The sequence below is a fragment of the Homo sapiens genome, chromosome 7 (assembly GCF_000001405.40).
Source record: "Homo sapiens chromosome 7, GRCh38.p14 Primary Assembly".
Taxonomy (NCBI): domain Eukaryota; kingdom Metazoa; phylum Chordata; class Mammalia; order Primates; family Hominidae; genus Homo; species Homo sapiens.
Window position 1 is genome coordinate 42,915,980 of NC_000007.14, and position 21,878 is coordinate 42,937,857.

Below are 21,878 nucleotides of genomic sequence, written 5' to 3' on the forward strand. Positions count from 1 at the left end.
CCGGGCAGAGCGGCTCATGCCTATAATCTCAGCACTTTGGGAGGCCAAGGCGGGTGAACCGCTTGAGCTGAGGAGTTGGAGACCAGTCTGGGCAACATGGTGAAACCCCGTCTCTACTAAAAATACAAAAATAAACCAAACATGGTGGTACGCGCCTGTAGTCCCAGCCACTCGGGAGGCTGAGGTAAAAGGATTGATCACCTGAGCCTGGGAGGATGAGGTTGCAGTGAGCCAAGATCACGCCACTGCACTCCCCCTGGGTGACAGAGAGATTGTCTCAAAAAACAAACCAACCAACCAACCCTGAGATAATTACCTCACATAGTCACTCAGCCAGTAAGTGAGATAGCTGAGACTTGACTTCAAAGACCTTTTTGCTACTATGTCCGCTTTCTAGTGTGCCAAAGTCAAAATATATCAAGAGCCCATAAGAGAGATTATTAGACAAGGCCAAGATAAACATCTTGAAACAGGAAGCCAAAGTTACCATCTTTCATCTCCTTAATGCTTTTGCCACCTAAAACAAGATATGGGTGTTATAGTGATGGTAGGGAACAGAACTGGGGACCCTGAGAAAAATCTCCAAAATAAGGTTCTTTTGCCCTTAACTAAATCTTAGAATCTTCTGAGCTCCATTTAAATCATGGAATTGCCCACTATACTTTCACGTTGGTAAGAATGATTATGCTTATAAACTCTCCTTATGTTCTGTAAACCAAATTAATGATTTTATCCTAAGTTGCCTTAAAAAAAATTTAAAAAAAAAAACCTAAGCACTGCCTTCATATGAGTGCAGATACTTAATTATAACTTTCATTATAGTGAAGCTATTTATTATACTGAGATTACATTAATGAATTAACAAGAGCCTTAAGCCATAGTTTTGACACTTAAGTATTAGCATTTTATTTCAAGCACTTATGCTCATCCTTGAGTTTAAAAAGTCTAACAAAATCTAAGAACCCGGGTTCCTTTAAACATGTTTACCTACTTGTGGAGACACCAACAGGAACCAGCAAACCATTGTTTATTTATTTACATAATGTATCTCCCATGGAGACCTATTTGGCTTACCACTCTTCATAGGCCTAGTACAATCTCATAGAGCACCCTAGGATTTCACTGATCAATACCTAATGGCACCTAAAAGTACCTATGCTTCTTTTCTTGTTCCATGAATCCGTGAAAGTCTGCAGATCCTCCCAGCTCTAGAAGCAGTCATGTTTTTTACCAAAATCAGCATTTTGCTTTATGGAAACACAGGCAACATCTGATAGCGAAGAGGGCATTAAGATTTGACTTAACCAAAATTGCCTGACAACGAAAAAGTCATTTCATCATTCTGCTTGGCAATGTAGTCTTCAGAAATCAACTGTGATAAAAAGCAGGAAATAACTGTTAAAATTTTAGCAACTCCTAAAAGGCTGGAAGGTGGGTTTAACAGTTTATTAGGATTTATAAGTGTCATTTTAAAAACAGTCGATTTAAACCATGTAGAAATAAGTATGCAAAAAGTCTGCAAAACAAAACATACTTTAAACATGTTTAAGTAGATAGATTATCTGAAATTCTGGATTTTTCAGTCACTTCATTGTTATGCTATGGCAGCCAAGTAATCCTTAACTTCAGTTGGAGTAAGCCTCCTAAATCCAGCTTCATTGCAGATTCCAACTTCTATGTTATCCTCTGTCATTTGCCCTTCAAAGCTTTCCTATTGAGGAGGGAGGAAAAAAGGTCAATTTTCTAAGCAGTTAATCATGAAATCATTATAAATCCAGTTGTTGAATACTGAGCTAACCTTTAGGGTTAAGATGGCTGTATGAATGGCATCTTCAAGTTCCAGATCTTCATTATATCTGAAGAATTTAAAAAAAATTACTTATATCATTGTTTATATTCTTTATAACTATTTAAATACAATGACAGCAACAACGTAAGTTTTTAAAACTCTAAACATCTTAAAAATACTAAATTACACATTCTTTTAATCACCTCCTTGTAGCTGTCTCCAGATTAAAAAAACTGACAATATCTGGTGCTCAATTCCCAACATCATGAACGGTATGACCCTAAAATGAGTTTAGTTTAGGAAACTTTTTTTTTTTTTTTTGAGACACAGTTATCTTGGCTTACTGCAAGCTCCACCTCCCGGGCTCATGCCATTCTCCTGCCTCAGCCTCCCAAGTAGCTGGGACTACAGGCGCCCACTACGCCCAGCTAATTTCTTTGTATTTTTAGTAGAGATGGGTTTCACTGTGTCAGCCAGGATGGTCTCGATCTCCTGACCTCGTGATCCGCCTGCCTTGACCTACCAAAGTGCTGGGATTACAGGCACGAGCCAACACACCCAGCCAGGAAACTTCTTAAGTATAAATATTTTAACAATCAGGATGTGGTGGCATTATTATAATTTTTAAAACACAGAAAAATCAGAACTTTGCTAAAATCTTTTTCTTATAAGTTAAAACATAACATGTCACTTCCTGCCGATACCAGTGTGGACGGTGCGAAGAGTGGCTGGGTCGTTTCTTCGGTTCTCCCCATCCCCTACTTTCCTCCCTCCATTGTCAACTGTTGCTCACCCTTCCCAGACTCCCCAGCCCCTCCCTAGCTCCTTCCTAATCTCGGTGCCACCTTTTCCTTTTTCTCTGCTCAGCCCGTGTTAGGGTGAAGCCTGGAGGAACCCCGGGCGCTGTACCAGAGGAGAAAAGACAAGGATGACCCTCAGCCCACCAGCCCAATCACTGGGTTCACCACCTCCATAGCAATGAGACTGATGCTGCTCACCTGTTCTGGCCACATATGGCCCGTGGCTGACTTGGCCTTCAGTGGCATCATGCCTTAGGGGCTTTTTTTTCCCTCAAGACAGAATCTTGCTCTGTCGCCCAGGCTGGAGTGCAGTGGTGCAATCTTGGCTCACTGCAAACTCCGCCTCCCAGGTTCAAGTGATTCTCCTGCCTCAGCCTCCCGAGTAGCTGGGATTACAGGCGCGCGCTATCACTCCTGGCTAATTTTTGTATTTTTAGTAGAGACGGGGTTTCACCATGTTGGCCCAGCTGGTCTCGAACTTCTGACCTCAGGTGATCCGCCTGCCTTGGCCTCCCAAAGTGCTGGGATTACAGGCGTGAGCCACTGCGCCTGGCCAGTCTTATGAGTATTTCTAAATCAGTGCTTGCAAAGACGGCAAACCTATGCTATGCCAGGGAGATACAGGAGACTGGATTGGAACAATTTTGGGTCATAAAGATGCTGTCTGGAATGCAACACTGAATAAGGATGCCACCAAAGCAGCCACAGCAGCTGCAGATTTCACAAAGTGTGGGATGCTATCCCAGGAGATGAACTGATGACCCTGGCTCATAAACACATTATCAAGACTATGGATTTCATGCAGGATAGTAATTATTTGTTAACCAGGGGACAGAATAAACTGTTTTGCATATATGACTTGAACAAACCCGAAGCAGAACCTGAGGAAATTAGTGATCACAGCTCTGATATTAAAAAGGCCCTATGGTACAGTGAGGATAAACAGATTCTTTCTTCTGATGACAAAACTGTTAAGACTTTGGGATCATGCTACTATGACAGAAGTGAAATCTCTAAATTTTATTATGTTGGCTAGTAGTATGGAATATATTTCTGAGGGAGAGATTTTGGTAATAACTTATGGCTGATCCAGTGCTTTTGACAGTACAGTAAGTTTGGAACCAATTAAATCCTTTCAAGCTCCTGCAAACATTAACTCTGAATCTCTTCACCTTGAGAAAGAATTTCTTGTTGCAGGTGGTGAAGATGTTAAACTTATAAGTATGATGATAATAGTGGAGAAGAATTAGAATCCTACAAAGGACACTCTGGTCCTATTCACTGTGTGAGATTTGATCCTGATGGAGAACTCTATGCCAGTGGTTCTGAAGATGGAACACTGAGACTGGCAAACTGTGGTAGGAAAAACATATGGCCTTTGGAAATGTGTGCTTCCTGAAGAAGATACTGGTGAGCTGGCAAAGCCAAAGATTGGTTTTCCAAAGACAAGAGAAGAGCTAGAAGAAATTGCTTCAGAGAATTCAGATTCCATCTATTCTTCAACTCCTCAAGTTAAGGCCTGAACATCAAGCATGTGCCACAGACAGCATACAACTGGACTAGAACGAGCAAGCAGAGAAAAGCATCAGCCTTCCAGAGTTACTCTCTGCTTAAGGCAAAAACAGCAATAAATAATGAGGAATATGAATTAGCTCCATTGCTGAAACAACTAACATGGTGTTACCCATAAGTGAAATCTCAAGAGTATCAGATGAAGGGAGGTTGAGTTATCCTCTTGTAGTACAATGGCCTGTCATCTTTTTAATGAATATGTACAAGATAACATCCAACTTCTCTTATTACAATTAAGAGTTCTTGCAGCTGTTTATGTCATTATGGAGAAGAAAAATATATTGGCTTATTTGTCTGACTTTTCCCTTAAAGCAGAATGTCTTTGTTGCTATTGTTTTTTGCTTTGGTTGTAAAGAGGGAATACATGATAAAGTAACTGGTTTAATTTCTTTCATTGTACACTGGTTCTGAACATCTAATTATTTTTAGTTGTCTAAATAAAATGCCTCTGAAACAAAAAATAAAACAAATCATAACATATCATGTAATAACAATGTGAAATCTTTGGAAGACTCATTAATATATAAAAGAAAAATGAAAAAGTGCTTTAAGAGCCTAAGATTAAGTTTACCATTTAAATCCAGGCCTAAGATTTTTAATAACCTTAACGTTACGTGAAAAATGTACTGTGAAGGCTCATCTGTTAAACGGAGTTACGAAGTTTTTTATTATTATTCAGCCATAAAAAAATGAAATCCTGTCATTTGCAGCAACATGGATGGAACTCGAGGTCATTACGTTAAGCAAAATAAGCCAGGCACAGAAAGATAAATATTGCATGTTGTCACTCATATGTGGGAGCTAAAAAAGTGGATCTCATGGAGGGAGAGAGTAGCACAGTGGTTACCAGAGGCTGGGAAGGGAGAAGGGAAGAAGAACTGAAGGAAGTTGGTTAAGGGGTCTAAAAATACGGTCAGACAGGAGGAATAAGTTCTGGTGTCCAGTAGTACAGTCAGGAAATTATCGTTAACAATTTACTGTATATTTCAGAACAGCTAGAAGATCTGCTATGTTCCCAACACAAAGAAAAGACAGATGTTTGAGGTAATGGATATCCAATTACCCTGATTTGACACTGTATACAGGTATCAAAATATCACATGTACTGCAAAAATATGTGCAACTATTACATATCAAGAAATAAAACATTTTCTTCTTCAAAAGCTTGGAGAGTCCCGAAGGACTACAGTAACACTGAGACTAGAATACAGCTGGAAATAAGTAAGAGCAGCTTGTACTTGGGCACCGACAGATTTTTACATAGTGCTCCACTTTTTATCAAGCACATGTATCAAATATTTAATATACCTTCAACTCCAGGCATTTGGTTTCACAATTTTTTTTACTGTCGTAAACTGTTATCATTAAATCATTTAAAAATTTGTCTCCCCAAATGTTTTATTCCAGATTCAATGTTCTTTTTTTTCCCTCCTGAAATGGCACAAAAAGTGAAGTAAAAAGTAAAAAAACCAAAAGCATTTAGGAAACCATAGAATGTAGAAAGAGAACTCCTTAGGAAATGAATATTAATTACCACTTAATATACTGAAGTCTAGGAAACTAGAAGGGAGAGAAGTTTTTGGTTTATCTGTAACTAGATTCATATACAGAGTAATATAGCAAGTTTCTTTAGTCCCATGATATTAATTTACTTAAAGAGCACCAAAAACCATAAAGTGAGTTTGCTAAAGAATGCAGTTACAATGAGTAGGCCTACCTTTTCTCAAGGAAAGTCTTCCCATTCACATAGTTCTTTCCCATTGCTGTAGCTTTCCAGGCAAAGTAAGCTCCCTAATCAGGAAAGAAAGAGTAAAAAACCATATTTTAAAACACAAATACAATTATATTGCCCTGCCATTTAATTTTTAGCTTTATTAATTGTTCTCTAACTTCGAAGGTCACAGAATATTATTAGAATGGAAAACGTCACAGAATAGGTTATTTTTTAAGAAGGCTAGAAGGATGGAAACCAAAAAGGCATGAAGAAACTTTTGGAGGTTCTGGAAATTTTTGATATCCTCATTGTAGTAATGGTTTCTTCAGGCATTTACATATATCAGAACTCATCAAACTGATGAGCTGGTGATGATGCAATTAAGTGTAAAATTATGTAAAAAATCCAGTTAAAAGAAATTGAGGTTAACTTAAAGCAAATAATCAAGAGTAGTATTTTAGTTTAATAGACTGAAGCGATTTAAAAATCTATCATATAAATCTGAAAAATGGTGATCAACTCTTGATCATTAGTGAATTAAAAAGAGAGCATCTCATTAGAAAAAAATACCAAAAGAAACATAATCCAATATGTTTTAAATGAAAACAATTGTTTTTTAGACACAACAGAGGAAAATAGGACAAAAGATAAAATCAGGATTCCAGAAATGGTGGCTTCTGCTACCTTCTGGAAAGGAAGATAAGAGGGCCTGTCATTTAGCTTTGGAAGCTCAGAGATGGAGTAACAACACTATCAAAGTTCCCAAAATACTTATTTTTCTGATTTAATTAACAACCAAAATATTTTTCTTTTGCCATCTCAGGTTATAAAAGTAGATTATAAGGTTTGCATTGAGTGAACCTGTAATTATCTAATAATCCATAAAACATGAAAGATCATTTCCTAATCTTGAATTTTGTCTTAAGGTTCTCATAGCAAATGGGACAGATGTGGAGTAGTATTATCCATTACAAACACCTTCTATTCAGATACCATTCTTCTGCATTAGAGCAGACAACTTACCCAAGGTACCAATTACACAATCATTTTTGCAAAACACTGAATTCAAGATAAATTAATGTTTTTGCTGGAAAACTCACTCAAGTCAGCCCCAAGATTCAACTGATGGCAAACACTACAACACTGTCCTCCAGATCCACATCTTCAATTGCAGTATTTCCCGAAGTAACAGGTTTAAATACATTTGATAACTATTTCAACAAATCACCCAAGTGTATGAAGTTAATGAACATGGCAAAAGAGGGTAGAACTAATACAGCTTCCTTATCAGAAGACCAAATTACCAAAATTTTAAATATACACACAAAAATGCACAACCTCATACTTTCTAAAGCCCAAGAGAAAAGAAGAAAATACTGCTAAATTGTAAAGTTTTTATGGCTTCTATTTCTGTTAGATATTCAAAGAGCACTTTTAACAAATCCCTCAAATACATTAAATGATACTTACAGATGGATCTGACTGAAATAAATATGGTCGTCCCTCATTCCAACCACAAATAAGTAAAGAAACTCCAAATGGACGAACACCACTGCAGGGAGGAAAATGAAAATTACTTGGCATTTTCATGGTGTTAAAGTCATCCTCAAGAATTTATCAGTACTCTCAAATAAAGCAAATTATCAGGCAAACTGAATTAGACTTTTAAGTTCCTTAGAAAGTATTTAACACCTTTCTGAATGAATCAATTCAAAACTAATTCTCTTTATGGTAGTGAGGAATGGTAGCCAAATAAAAAAAAATTTGAATTGAACAGTGTTACCTAAGACACTGGGGTTAATAAGTGTGTAGTAACATTTAGTGTCCTAATAAAATGACAACTTTCAATTAATGCAGCTTTTCCACTAGGTTTACCTATTACAAAATGACAACTTTCAGTTAATGCAGCTTTTCCACTAGGTTTACCTATTACAAAATGACAACTTTCAATTACTGCAGCTTTTCCACTAGGTTTACCTATTACAAAATGACAATTTTCAGTTAATGCAGCTTTTCCACTAGGTTTACCTATTACAAAATGACAACTTTCAGTTAATGCAGCTTTTCCACTAGGTTTACGTATCAACAACTACCTATATGCTATCTCATCTACACCCAAACTTAAGAAACTGGGGAATGAAAAGAAATATGAATACGTCCAAGAGCTGCTTTCATCATGTGCTTACCATCATTTCTGGTTAGAAAGATAAATTTGAAAGTAGCGGCCAGGCACAGTCCCAACACTTTGGGAGGCCAAGACAGGCAGATCACTTGAGGTCAGGAGTTTGAAACCAGCCTGGCCAACATAGTGAAACCACATCTCTACCAAAAAAATACAAAAAAAAAAAAAAAATTAGCTAAGCATGGTGATGCACGCCTGTGGTGCCAGCTACTCAGGAGGCTGACGCATAATTGCTTGATCCCAGGAGGCAGAGGTTGCAGTGAGCCGGGATCATGCCATTGCACTCCAGCCTGGGCGACAGAGTGAGACTCTGACTCAAAAAAAAAAAAAAAAAAAAAAAAAAGAAAAATTTAAAGTTGCAATGATTGTCTGTCCATAAAGTGTTTTAATCACTGGCAAAAGAACTTTGTATATCTAGAAGCTGCTTTCTGCTGTTACATAAGCAACAAGAAAACACATTTTTTTCCTTAAATAAATACTCCAGAGCCAGATAAGATCAGAAATATTCATCATAGTGATTCTGTCCACTTGTTAAGCAAATACAGAAATGGTAAGTCCCACTCTATTTATATACCTACTCTTTAAAATAACTTCCCCCTACAATTCATGGCACATTTCAAGTAAAAAAAGCAACTTACCCTGACTGAGTATATTCTTGCATCACAGAAGCTACTCTCTGTACCAGCTGAGCTGTAGGAATGGGTTCTTGGTACACAAGATAGTATTGTTGAGCTAGTTTTCGAGCTCTGTGCACAAGCACTCTAACAAGGAAAAAATAAGATTTAATTACACAGAACATGCTCTACTACCTGAAGACTCATTCTCCTTTTACAGGCATGTACCTGCAGCACAAGTTTAACATGTATCTCTTTAATGGTGGCTATTGGATCAAAGCTAGTCTTACTCTAACACTGGATTCCAGTTGATATAGAAGAAAATATCAGAGCATCAGAGTACCAGTTAGCTTAAAAGTAACAGATTTAATGTACAAAAATGAGAACTTTATCTTGCTCCACGGCTTCTTCAAGACTGTACCCCCATCCAAGGGCAGCCGCTTGTCTTTTTACAGCTCACCCCAGCCCACACACACAAGCACACATAAACACACAGGCACACAATTCTGGGCATATTTTTCTCACTTCAGGTCACTACTTTCTGCAGACTGTTTCAATCTCTCTGCCTGTGCTTCACGGAGTACCCTTCAGAGATTAAGAAACAGTAAGAAACTACTTGTAACTAAAAATGTAAAATTCGGCTAGGTGCAGTGTTTCACGCCTGTAATCCCAACACTTTAAAAGGCTGAGGCAGGAAGATCACTTGAGGCCAGGAGTTTCAGACCTGCCTGGGCAAGACCCTGGGTTACTTTAAAGAGAATAACTCAGATGTGAAAGAGGAGGGAGATAGAGTACATAACTCCTCTTTTCTCTGTTTAATGGACTTTCCTTTCTGACATATTCCTCTTCTACTATACAGGAACTGGGCATAAGGCTTTAGTTTTCTCCAGTGCAGTTTAAAATGATAAAAGCAATACCCAGCATGACCCTGTCTCTTAAAATTTTTTTTCAGAAGTAAAATTTGTCAAAAGAGATTAAGAAGATATTATATAACAATCAAATATATTAGCAAGACAAATAGGATTTATCTTTGCCAGCTCATATACTACTGATCTGAAATATGCACATTTTCCCTCTGTGTGACAGTCATGTCCCATCCCTCAGTTTATCCTATCAGTGGCAGCACAATGCAGTATCCAGCCTATATAGTGGTGACAAGATTCACTGCCTGATCACATTCCACTGACCTTGTTGCGTTGATTCACTGAAGTGAAACTTTGCCTCTACCTATCTTGCTCCACAAAATCATGAGCAATAAAGTAATACTCCTTTTACTTGTTTAAATGACAGACACAGAAAGCTGTCAATCTCTTTCAACTTGCTGGTACCCTGAGTAACAAGATTATTCTCTCTTCCTGTGAAATATAAAGGGGGTGATTACACAAGCATTGGGATCCTGGTTGGCTGCCACACTCAACAACTTGCAGTGGTGTTTGAGAATTTTGTTCCTTTGTGAAGAACAGGAAAAAAGATAACTCTGGATAGTGATACTTTCTTTTGTTGCCTCATACTTTTTAAAATATAGTTTATTATAACTTAAATTGCTTTTATCATTTTTAAACTGCACTGGCGAAAACTAAAGCCCTTACGCCCAGTTCCTGGATAGTAGAAGAGGAATATGTCAGAAGAGAAAGTCCGCTGAACAGAGAAAAGAGGAGTTATGTAATCTATCTACCTCCTCTTTCACATCTGAGTTATTCTCTTTAAAGTAACCTATACAGGCAAACTAAATTCAGCTCTCAACGAGGCTGCTATTGCTAAACAAAGCACACAAAAAAAGAGGAACTGGAAGATTAAAGGAAAACAACCTTGGTTTTTCTCCTGAAAATACAGATTACAATCAATTCATGAGATGGTGAGAAACACTATAAAAAGTATAAAGTACCTGTAATCGGGGCCCATGCCACTGTACACCAAACCTATATGCTTGGTAATTGGTTCTACTTTGTGTACACTTCGCTCATCATACAGAATGGATTTCTGTTTTTTCTCAGTTGCTAATACCACACCATTTGCAGCTTAAAAAAAAAGAGAGAGACATAAATGTTTAATCATTTTTAAGACTGTTTTAACAGCTTTCTAATTATGGATGCGCTAAACGCAAACTCCTTTATTTCCTTTAATTTATAAAACCTTTTCTTCCGGAGTCCTATTACCAAAATTACCTAAGAAATGGTAAGTCAGTTTTTCCCTCACTGGTCATTTAGTACTACACAAAAAAATCCTCCCTACAGCTAAAGGTATTACATAAACTTTTGTAAAGCACTCTAAGGATACCTGAGAGTTCACATGTTTTAAAATAAGGGATTTCTGTCTACTTGTCCCAATATTCTTATAACATGAAATTTACAATAAATGATACAGGCTTTTAAAGTGAAACACAACACATTTAGCTTATGTTTTATAATTAAGCTTTCCTAAATTATAAGGATAAAAACTGCCAGGAAGTAGTGATATAATCAGTGGAAAAACAAAAAAAGAACTCAGTTTTCTGAATGAGAAAGACTATTGTGAATATCACAACTAACAGATAAAGGTGTTACTATTTACTTTGAAAAGAAATTTGAATGACCTTAGACTTATTACTATTTAAACTCCAAAACACTGTAAATTAACAAAAAATTGTTAAAAATTATACTGCTGCAGCTCTGTATAAATTAATTACTAATGAATTCCAAAATAATTAGGATAACTACTAACAGGCATCTGAAATGAATGAAGCATTTCATTACCTTTAATTCCCACGGACGGGGCTCCTCCAGCTACAGCAGCCAAAGCATATTCAATCTGGACAAGTTTACCAGACGGGCTTAAAAGAAACACAGGTATTTGTAAGTTCACATATCATCAAATATTTATTGTAAGAACATCTCTGAGATAGTACAGACATACAGGTCAAATCCAATTTATCCAACTCCAGGGAGTAACTGGCCTTTGACCTCTATCATGAAGTGGCACAGAAACCAAGTTTACAGCTGGGCGCAATGACTCAAGTTTGTAATCCCAGCACTTTGGAAGGCCAAGACGGGTGGATCACCTGAGGTCAGGAGTTCGAGACCAGCCTGACTAACATGGTGAAACCCTGTCTCTACTAAATATACAAAAATTAGCCGGGTATGGTGGTGCATGCCTGTAATCCCAGCTACTTGGGAGGCTGAGGCAGGAGAATTGCTTGAATCCGGGAGGTGGAGGTTGCAGTAAGCCAAGATTGCACCATTGCACTCTAGCCTGGGCAACAAGGCCGAAACCTCGTCTCAAAAAAAAAAAGAGAAAGACAGAAAGAAAGAAACCAAGTTTACAAGGCAATTGGAACATACTCCTACTGAAGCACTACTTTCTCTTTGGTTGTTTTTTGTCTGCCACATGGAGCAGTGGTATTACTGTTGCTTCTTTTCACCCTAAGTTTTCTATGCCTGTTTTCTCACCTGTAAAATGAGGACACAGTAACCACAACTGGTTTTCCGTATCAGTGGATTCCACAGGGCTGACTACAGGACTTGAATACGCCCTCACTTGGTATTTGTGGGGGTACTGAAATCACCGTCCCCTACAAGTGTCCTGTACCTATTTCAAAGCATTGTTGTGATTAAGTGAAGTAATTCCTATAAAACTGTCTGGCATAAAATCAGTAACAAGCACATACTGAATAGTAATGTTATTAAGAACATGTATGTGTCTGTTAAAAACCAAACAGCAGCACATATTTCAGGTCGGAGGGTGGTTTTAGAAAACAGACATGGCCTAAGACAATAAGACCTAGATATCACTCACAATTAAGTATTCTCTATATAATATACAACTATTTCTAGAAGTCATGAGATGGTCACACTTAACAGATCTGGTTCCATGGATTTGGTAGCTAAACGCAAGTCTCAAACTGGCCTTTTAAAGTTATCCTTTATTTCAACCTAGTTGTTTAAATGGAATCATCATAAACCAACCTAATTTCATAGATAAAGTCTGAGTGAAAGTAATTTGTCCAAAGTGACACAGCTAGGTCCTTATCTCCCGTCTACTAATGAAAATATAAATTTCAGAAGGCCGTATTTTCTCTTCATATAATTACGAATATTCCCTTGGTCACTCAAATCTCAACTCCATCCCTCCTTGCTCCAAACACATAGACTACTCTCAGACTTCAAACGCCTCATTGACAAGCTAATCCCTCCATCTGAAATGCATTTCTCTATTGCCCTGTGAACTCCTTTCATTCAATCATGTCCTAAGGGAAGTTGCCCTGAACCCTCAAGATTAAGTTGAATACCTATTCACTGATGCCTGTGATGTCCTGCACTTCCTCTTTGTCTAAGATTCATCATATCTGAATTGTTATTTTTTTTTTTTAGTAACAGGGTCTTGCTATGCTGCCCAGGCTGGTCTCAAACACCTCGTCTCAAGCAATCCTCCTGCCTCGGTCTCTTTATTATTTTTACAATATTTGTCTTCCTCAATAAAGTAGCTATGTTCAGTCAGGATTCCAGCACATAACCTAATACCAGGAATCCACAATCATTTGGCTGACAGAGACACATCTAGACCAATTAAAGAAACAGACCTAAGGGTGACAGCTTTAAGGCTCTTGATATAATTAATTTGAGCAGAATAACATCAACTGACATTTAAATTAAAAAATTAGGCTGAACTTTTCCTTTAATAGTCACTATTTCAATAATCATATCATAACTTTCTGGGTCCATCCAGCTTTCAATTATTGTTCAATACCTAATTCATATACCCCTGGGTAACATTTAAAGGCTCATGTAAACTTAATAGCTACCATTTCTCTGTTCCTATTACCTGTACATACCTATCTTTACCACTGCATGATTTCACTGCGTGAAAGCTCACTAACCTGTGAGCTGGCTGAGCAATCAACCATCTTTATATTCCATAATGCCACTATCCCATTCCATAGCATCAGCATCCCTACATGGGATAACTGAAATAGCCTTCTAACTGGTTTTCCTCTTTCTCAACCTTACTTCCACCCCCAGCCAAAGTTACCTTTGGACCATGTCACCTACACTTAGATTTTGTAATAACTTCTTTGTTCACGTAAAATAAAATCTCCTTCTCTGGCCTACAAAGTCCTACACGATTAGCCCTCTCCCACATTATCTCCTTGCTCACTATAGCACATTTGCCTCATTTTTATTCCTTTAAGAGCTCAAGCTCCTTCCCAGTTTCAGGGCTTTCATACATGCTGTTCCCTCTGTCTACAAGTCTCCTTATTCCTGAATCTTCAAATAGCTGGTTACTTTTAATCTTCCAGTCTCAAAAATCACCCCCAAGCACAAGCCTTTCCTGATTACTCAATCTAAAGTCATATTCCTTCCTTCACCCATTTAAAATAAAATTCCTTAGTAAGAGAATGTATTAGTAGGCACCAATTTGTTTACTCATTTATTGTCAATTCCTCAACCAAATGTAGTCCACAAGAACTGTTTCATCCTGTATGGTCTCTAGTCCCTTCCACCATTAGTTTACTTCTGATTATGAGAGGCTAGAAACAAATATTTTCTTTTTATCTAAAACAGGTGAATCCACCATGTTAAAACACACACACACACACACGCACACACACACACACACACACACAAGTTTGGTTTTTTTAAAAAAAACTTTTAGATATGGGGTATCACTTTGTGACCCAGGCTGGAGTGCAGTGGCAGAATCACAGCTCACTGAATCCTAAACTCTTGGGTTCAAGTGCTCCTCTCGCCCTCAGCCTCCCAAATAGCTTGGATTACAGGCACATGCCTGGCTAATTTTTTAATTTTTTTCAGAGATAGGGTCTTGCTGTGTTGCCCAGGCTAGTCTTGAACTCCTGGGCTAAAGTGATCCTCCTGCCTCAGTCTCCTGAGTAGCTGGGATTACAGGTGTGAGTCACCCTGCCTGGCCAAAAGTTTATTTTAATAAAGAAAATTTGTTATAAAAAGATTCAGTCCCTGAAGGTATACGGTTGTTTTATGTTTTCAGCTCCACTAGGATTACACTTTCTTCGCGATAAAAGACCACATTTGCAGCCTGGGCAACATCGCAAGACCTCATGCCTTAAAAAAAAAAATTAGCAGGCAGGGTGGTGCACACCTCTAGTCCCAGCTACTCCAGAGACTGAGGCAGGAGGATCCCTTGAGCCCAAGAGCTGGAGGCTGCCAAGTCCCTGTCCCTAAAAAAAGGACCACATTTGTTTTCTTCATAAATAGGAACAGTGAATACATCCTGCACACACTATTCTGTCATATGTAATATAATGAGACCTTTTATTGCATAATTAAATTAATCTCGTTCAAAGGTTACAAAAAAACTATTACATACACCCACTGCTTACTGAAAACTGCCAAGAGAAAAGTACTTTTGGAATTTAAGACAACGTTATGTAATGGAAAGTGTATTTTTGTTATCAGAAAAAAAACCCAGTTTGAATGTCAACTCAGCTACTCACCGATGACCTTAGACAAGTTGTTTAATTTGTACAAGCTGCGGTTAGTTCATCTGTAAGAAGCTGAGATAACATTCATTATAGCAGTGGAAAGAGATGGAGCAGGTTAAGGTTAAGTTGCACCTAACAAAGTACTCAACAAGTTAGATCCCGCCTGCCTTCAGTTGTCAGGAGTACATTTTAAGTAAACTGGGCATTACTGATCCTTAAGAAAATGGGTAAGTCAGAAAACTTCCCCAGTCAATTTTTAAAAGTCTTCGGCGATGGTTTTCTCACGTTGAGAGCCATGGTTCGCCCCAACTGTATTTTGGAAAGTAAACTTATTATTCTAATCCCCTTTTCTACAATAGAAAAACCTACAATCTTGTTTAAAGTAAACATCCCCCTCCCCGACGTTCCCCCCAGTCCACCAAAAAAAGACCAAAACTCAAACTTGCCTCGTTGTTAGGGGTTCACAAAAAAGTGATAGGGGCTTTCGGTTTTTAGTCCTTATGTTTCTAATTCGTGCATCGAAGAAACCGAAAGCGGGAGGTTTTGAAAGACACTAGTGCCAAATGGAGACCAAGACTCCGACTTAACTGTAAAGCTGAGAGTTTTCCAAGAAAAGGGAACCCCACATATTTGACCAAGATTCCAAGTTTCAGAAACCACCGCATCAGGTCTACTTGAGCCAGGAAAAAAATCCTGAGTTCGGAACGGGCCACCCAGAGATGGTTAAGCTAAAACTGCCTTCTTTTCTGGTCTCCAAAGTGAAAGCGAATCCTTGGCTATGTGCCTCACCGTCCCGCAGCCCCATGTTAACCCCGCAAAACCGCATCCCCCCGACCCTCCAGCAGCCTCCGACCAAGGAAGCTCCAGGAATCCCGGGTCGGCCTGGCAAATGACTTTGCAAAGCCGCATTTCCAACTCCATTCCCTACTGGACCCTCCAGAAGCACCAATGCCGACGTCAGGATGGGAAAAACTAAATCGACAGAGTACCAGCAACCTCGACTACGCTGAAGACCTCGAGGGCCCCTTCCATACCTGAATGTAGTCAGCGAAAAGCTGTACCCGCGCTCCGCCATCTTTACCCGAAGAGCCAAAGCACAGCCGCACACATGCGCACTGTGGCCGATTTCCTTTCATTTCCCCGCCCCTCACCTTTCCTTTACTCTCTATGATTGGAGGAGAGTCAGAGCTGCTCCAAGAGCATGCGGGGTGTTGTAGTTCTAAGAAGCGAGGCTTGCCCGATTCTGTGCCTGTGCGCATGCTGAAAGCAGGGGCGGGACCGGGGCGGTCTTCCAGCAGGGAAAATGGCGCTGGCCATGCTGGTCTTGGTGGTTTCGCCGTGGTCTGCGGCCCGGGGAGTGCTTCGAAACTACTGGGAGCGACTGCTACGGAAGCTTCCGCAGAGCCGGCCGGGCTTTCCCAGTCCTCCGTGGGGTAGGTAAAGAAGGGCTCCGTGGGAGAGGGGGCTGATGACGGGACCTCGGGCAGCGTAGCAGACGCAGCTTACACAGTTCGCCCTCAGCCCCGGTTCTGATCCGCGGCCTCATGTCGGGGACGTAGTTCGTGACATTCCCATATTAGCGAGAACAGAACGACTGTTTTTGCGCTCCCTCCACCGCAAAAAAAAAAAAAAAAAAATTCCTCTGCTTGTTCCATTCGTACACAGAATGTAACCCAAGCTTGTGTCAAAGATAAATCATAGCCAGCCAGTAAGTAAAGCGCTGAAAACAGATTTTATTCAGTAACTACTGCAGGTAAAGAGCTGAGCTCCATCCCGGTTTGTGCAGAGGTGACTTTGGGCGTTTTAAAGGGAGAATGAGCGAGGCGGGAGTGTAGGGGCTCTGTAGAGTCAGAGAAGTGTAGTATAGTGAAGTCAGTGCAAATGTGATTAGCCGGCTGTGTCTGCTAGCTCGCAGTTGTCTTAGGGAGAATTCTATCCTCCCGCAGAGACTGGGAGACAAAGGCCCTATCCTTCCTAATGATTAGATTTCGAAGGAATGGCTCTCAGGGCCTTGAAAGAAAAGCTTCCGAGTTAGTTGCAAGGGATACGTATTTACAATTATATGCCCTTTCCAGGAAATGCTCTAAGGGAGTTCGGGACCTACTATCGGGGTATGTTGGCCAAAATAAATAGGAAATTTTCCAGGCAGCGTTGAGCTTTCTCAGGCAGGCACTTTAAAGGGGGGGCCGAGGTCATCCTAGGATACAGCCTTATGCTGCTAGAAACTATGCTAGAGTTTGGTCAAGTCTGTGGAGTTCAGGGATTTGTACAGAGTTGTCCTGAGAGGACAGTTCTGCAGGTCTCACTTGGCATCAAGGCTCACCACTCTCTGGATCTGTCTTTCCTTTCCAGCCCTGCCCTCACCTCCCCTCCCGCTTCCCCTCTCCCCCCTCTCCTCTTCCCTTCCCTTCCCTCCCTTCTTTCCTCCCTTCCTCCCTCCCTCCCGCGCAGTACATGTTTTCTGTGGTGTTTGAGCTCTGAGGAGCTGAATTCTGTTTCCCATGTTTCACTTGGAATTAATTTTAATTGGAAGTATCTTGGATGTTGAAACTGTCATGGCTTTGGCATTTACATTCTACTCAATTTCTAAGCAGCCTGAAAGTGATAATATCCAGAAATATACCAAGAAAATATATGCCACTATATGCCAAGCAATGTGCCAAGCTTTCTACATGTACTTCCTGGGATAATCTTGACAACAGTCCCATTAGGTGTATACACTTTCCAACTGAAACAGTAGGCTCACAATGGTCCCAAGTTCACAGACAGTCCTGAGCCTGTGTTGTTAATCACCGGGGCATGCTTGGCAATACTTGTGGACATACTGAAAATAAATGCCAGTTGTTAAGTGTTAGAGAACTTTGTGTATTTTTAAGAGTTCTTAAGATCAAAAGAAGTATGTGGGCTGGGCGCGGTGGCTCACACCTGTAATCTCAGCACTTTGGGAGGCCAAGGTGGGTCCATCACCTAAGGTCAGGAGTTCAAGACCAGCCTGGCCAACATTGTGAAACCCTGTCTCTACTAAAAATACAAAATTAACCAGGCGTGGTGGTGCACACCTGTAATCCCAGCTACTTGGGAGGCTGAGGCAGGAGAATCACTTGAACCAGGGAGGCGGAGGTTGCAGTGAGCCGAGGTCACGCCACTGCACTCTAGCCTGAGTGACAGAGTGAGACTCAGTCTCAAAAAAAAAAAAAAAAAGTATGGCACGTCTAAGAAATAGCAAGGAAAGGGTAAAGGAATGTTGATTTTATAAGCAATTCAGAAAAAGAGAAACTTTGATAGTCACATAAATAAGGCCATACAGAGAAATGGTGAGCTGGCTCTTTTCTTTAGAGAGCAGACAGGAATCAAGATTAAATGTTATGAGGAACTAAGTGACTTAAGAGGTTGTATCATAAAGGACCTGACTCAGTTTGAATATAAGAAAAGGCAATTGGCAGTTACATCAGTGCCGGTCAGAAGTGTATTCAGGAAATCTGTCTAGATTTACTTGTAAATTAATCAGGTACTTACTACCCGCCAAGTATTAATAGAATGTGGACAGTTGAGTGATTCTTTGCTTGTTTTGTTCAAGTTAGGTGCCTATCAGAGTCCTGTATTTTATGAGATAAGAAACTTGATGGAATTTCACTGATCTTCTTTTCAGCAGGATCCGCTAAGAAAAAATTCTGTGTTCCTTAAAATTGTATAAGCTTTAGTGTATTTTAATAGCTAAGGTTTCTCATTATTGAGTTTCACATTCTAAATTTTATATATAGTTTTTGTGTGTGTGTATGTTTGACCATTGATTGTTAAGGAAAATGATATCTGTAAATAGTAATTTAGAAGCTAGAAACTAATTCTGTATCTCTTATGTTTTATTTCCTAGGACCAGCATTAGCAGTACAGGGCCCAGCCATGTTTACAGAGCCAGCAAATGATACCAGTGGAAGTAAAGAGAATTCCAGCCTTTTGGACAGTATCTTTTGGATGGCAGCTCCCAAAAATAGACGCACCATTGAAGTTAACCGGTGTAGGAGAAGAAATCCGCAGAAGCTTATTAAAGTTAAGGTAATGCATTGATTTTTGTGGGTGTGCTTTTCCTCAAGTCCTCCATTGAATAAGCTCATGGTAGATTCCTATAGCCTAGGAATAAATTATTATCAGATTATATGTGTCTACTTTCCTCTGGCCTAAATGAAATACAGTATTCTCATTATATACATAATGAGAAGGCTAGAGCCTGCTGTCCTCTAGCCTGAGTATTAGAAACACAGTCAAGGAAGGAGTGAGTTTGGAGACTGGGCAAGGAACGAGGCTGTGAGGTGCCTACATGACTTCTGAATTGTGAGCTGTGTCAGTCTTGAGCTGTGTGAGTTTTGAACTACAGATGAGTAAACATCCTAACTATGGCAGAGCCTAGAATTAAAGCTAGAAGCAGTAGGTATACTGAATCTTGGGTTTTACAAGCCCTTACATATTTGTTTTATTTTTTTATCATTTCCAACAAAATACCATGAAGGAAAACCCTAAGATAAGTAATATAATAGCTAACAACAATTAAGTGTCTATGATGTATCTCAGTGCCTTATGTTTATTATATCTCATCATGTCTTATAGCCCTCCAAAGCAAATAAGATATTCTTCATTATTAGGATGAAAAAACTGAGGCAAAAAGAATTTGCCTGTGGTCACACAGCTATGAAGCAGTAGATTTTCGAGCTCTGATTTTTGACCTCATGTTCTTTTAAAGATTTTCTTTGTGTTCTCCTATCCTCAGACAATTTCAGATTCTCCTCGCTGACAACATGGATGTACTGTCTTCATTGATCTAGTAAAGAAAAATTACAGTGTGTATTACCTCTGATCTGTTCATGTATGGTTTTAACAGTTAGGATTTCAGTTACTGTTTACTTCATGGCGTTCCACAACAGCAGCACCATACAGATGAAACTCGAGAACAGAAAGCTGACTTTCATAAGCATCCACATTCTGTTAAGCAAAACCTTAGAACTTAAGCCAGAAAGTATTATTGAGTGATGGTTGGGGCTGAACTTAAATGTAGAACTGAAAAACACTTTATTACTTAAGACTTACAGTAATTCATAAATTTGCTCAAGAGGACGTAAGATTTTAGGAATGAGATCTTGCACTGATCTATTATGTGACTTCCCTGATCGCATTTATTCTGAAGGAATAGTTCTTATCCTGTGCATTTATTTTCTTCCTTGAATTATTTTCTGTTACATACGGTATATAGTGTGTTATGTTGGGTACTTTGATCACGAAAGGAAGACCAGCTGACTGTGGGTGTCTTCATACCTTCAGTTGTGCATGCAATCCAGTTTCCAGTAGTGGAGCAAAATGAGAATATGGTTAGGCAAGTAATATACAAGCCTCTTTCTTCCTTTCAGAAAAGGAAATTCTTTTGTTATCTGCCTCACAAATGTTAGTATATTAATCTTATCAAGTGTTTAAAGCTTCTTTAATGATCCTGTTTAGTATTTTTCTTTGTATTTTCTTTCAAACCTACATCTAGAATAAGTTGATAAATCTTTTAGAGGTTATAATGTTTCTATTTTATATTTAAAGTTGGAGATATATATATATCTATATCTATCTCTATATATATATATATACACACACATATATATATCATTAAAATACCCTAAGAATGTAACATAGAAAATAATTTTACATTAAGGAATAATCAGTGTTCATTTTTAAAAAGAAAAATTATACCATATACGAAACCTGTATTCTGTACAGGAATTTGAATTACACTGTGATAAAAAGAGGAAGCCAAGGAAGTCAACTTGTAATGTTCTTATCTTGTTTTCCCTAAGATAGATTGAAAGACAAAGGGAATTCACTTTTCCTTGGTGTCTTATTTAAGATGCTGATTGTTTGGGTCACTTCATTATGTTGACAAATTCCTTATTTGATATTTAGTATTTGGAGTTAGGGGAAATGAGTATTTCTTTTTTCTTTTTTACATAACTACAACTGCTGTGTTTAAGTAAAGATACCAGATTCAGGTTGGCTGAATTCTAGTTCTAGTTTTTCTCTAATTCAAACTCAGTGTTGCTTGTCTTCAGTCTTCCTGTTAAAGTGAGGTGGAACTAGATGGTGTATGATGACCTCATGTAGCCTGAACATCCTAAGAAAGTTAAAATGTAAGCATTGCTCCTGTCAGTGGTTATTTGTTCGTTATATTGCCTCATGTTAAAATACGTTTTTGTTTATTGTTTTAAAGAACAACATAGACGTTTGTCCTGAATGTGGTCACCTGAAACAGAAACATGTCCTTTGTGCCTACTGCTATGAAAAGGTGTGCAAGGAGACTGCAGAAATCAGACGACAGATAGGGAAGCAAGAAGGGGGCCCTTTTAAGGCTCCCACCATAGAGACTGTGGTGCTGTACACGGGAGAGACACCGTCTGAACAAGATCAGGGCAAGAGGATCATTGAACGAGACAGAAAGCGACCATCCTGGTTCACCCAGAATTGACACCAAAGATGTTAAAAGGGTAACTTCACAGTAAATCATTTCTCCTGAAATAGAGGAAGATTCTTTATGTTGTTGTGCTTGTTTTTAAATCATCAGTATAGTTTAACACATTCTTTCTAAGCAGTTTTGTGTGGGATAATTTGAAGAATATATTATGAGTAAACTCCGAAAATTTTGTTTATCCAAAGGCTCAATGGATTATGTTTCTATTATATACAAGGTTTTAAGTAAACATAAAATTTCCAGAACAAAAATAAAAAATTTAAAATTCATAGCAAAAA

The 21,878-nt window shown here is 38.9% G+C and overlaps 2 protein-coding genes and 1 pseudogene across 3 annotated transcripts, besides 1 other annotated feature; 2 read left to right on the top strand and 1 right to left on the bottom strand.

The window, feature by feature from the left end:
- Positions 1-881: 881 nt before the first annotated feature.
- Positions 882-16,195, bottom strand: PSMA2 (proteasome 20S subunit alpha 2). The gene is made up of 8 exons (NM_002787.5): positions 16,139-16,195; positions 11,404-11,480; positions 10,557-10,689; positions 8,696-8,818; positions 7,346-7,427; positions 5,879-5,952; positions 1,799-1,856; positions 882-1,711 (listed from the first exon to the last, which is right to left on the bottom strand). Exons 1-8 carry the CDS (start codon positions 16,177-16,179, stop codon positions 1,595-1,597), a joined length of 705 nt encoding a protein of 234 aa, NP_002778.1. The 5' UTR covers positions 16,180-16,195; the 3' UTR covers positions 882-1,594.
- On the top strand, positions 2,474-4,112 carry LOC105375252 (serine-threonine kinase receptor-associated protein-like; annotated as a pseudogene).
- Positions 16,346-16,575: an enhancer, noted in NCBI's record as "active region_25905". NCBI's record gives its function as "activates an Ori minimal core promoter by ATAC-STARR-seq in GM12878 lymphoblastoid cells {active_cell/tissue: GM12878}" and the evidence as "EXISTENCE:reporter gene assay evidence [ECO:0000049][PMID:35858748]".
- Positions 16,397-21,878, top strand: MRPL32 (mitochondrial ribosomal protein L32). 2 transcript variants are annotated; one of them, NR_156497.1, is made up of 4 exons: positions 16,397-16,537; positions 18,976-19,157; positions 21,185-21,262; positions 21,343-21,878. NR_156497.1 is itself a non-coding variant. In NM_031903.3 (3 exons), the coding sequence occupies exons 1-3, from the start codon at positions 16,408-16,410 to the stop codon at positions 21,595-21,597; spliced, it is 567 nt and encodes a 188-aa protein (NP_114109.1). In that variant the 5' UTR covers positions 16,397-16,407; the 3' UTR covers positions 21,598-21,878. The 2 variants fall into 2 exon arrangements, 1 of the variants encoding a protein (NP_114109.1); NM_031903.3 differs by lacking the exon at positions 21,185-21,262.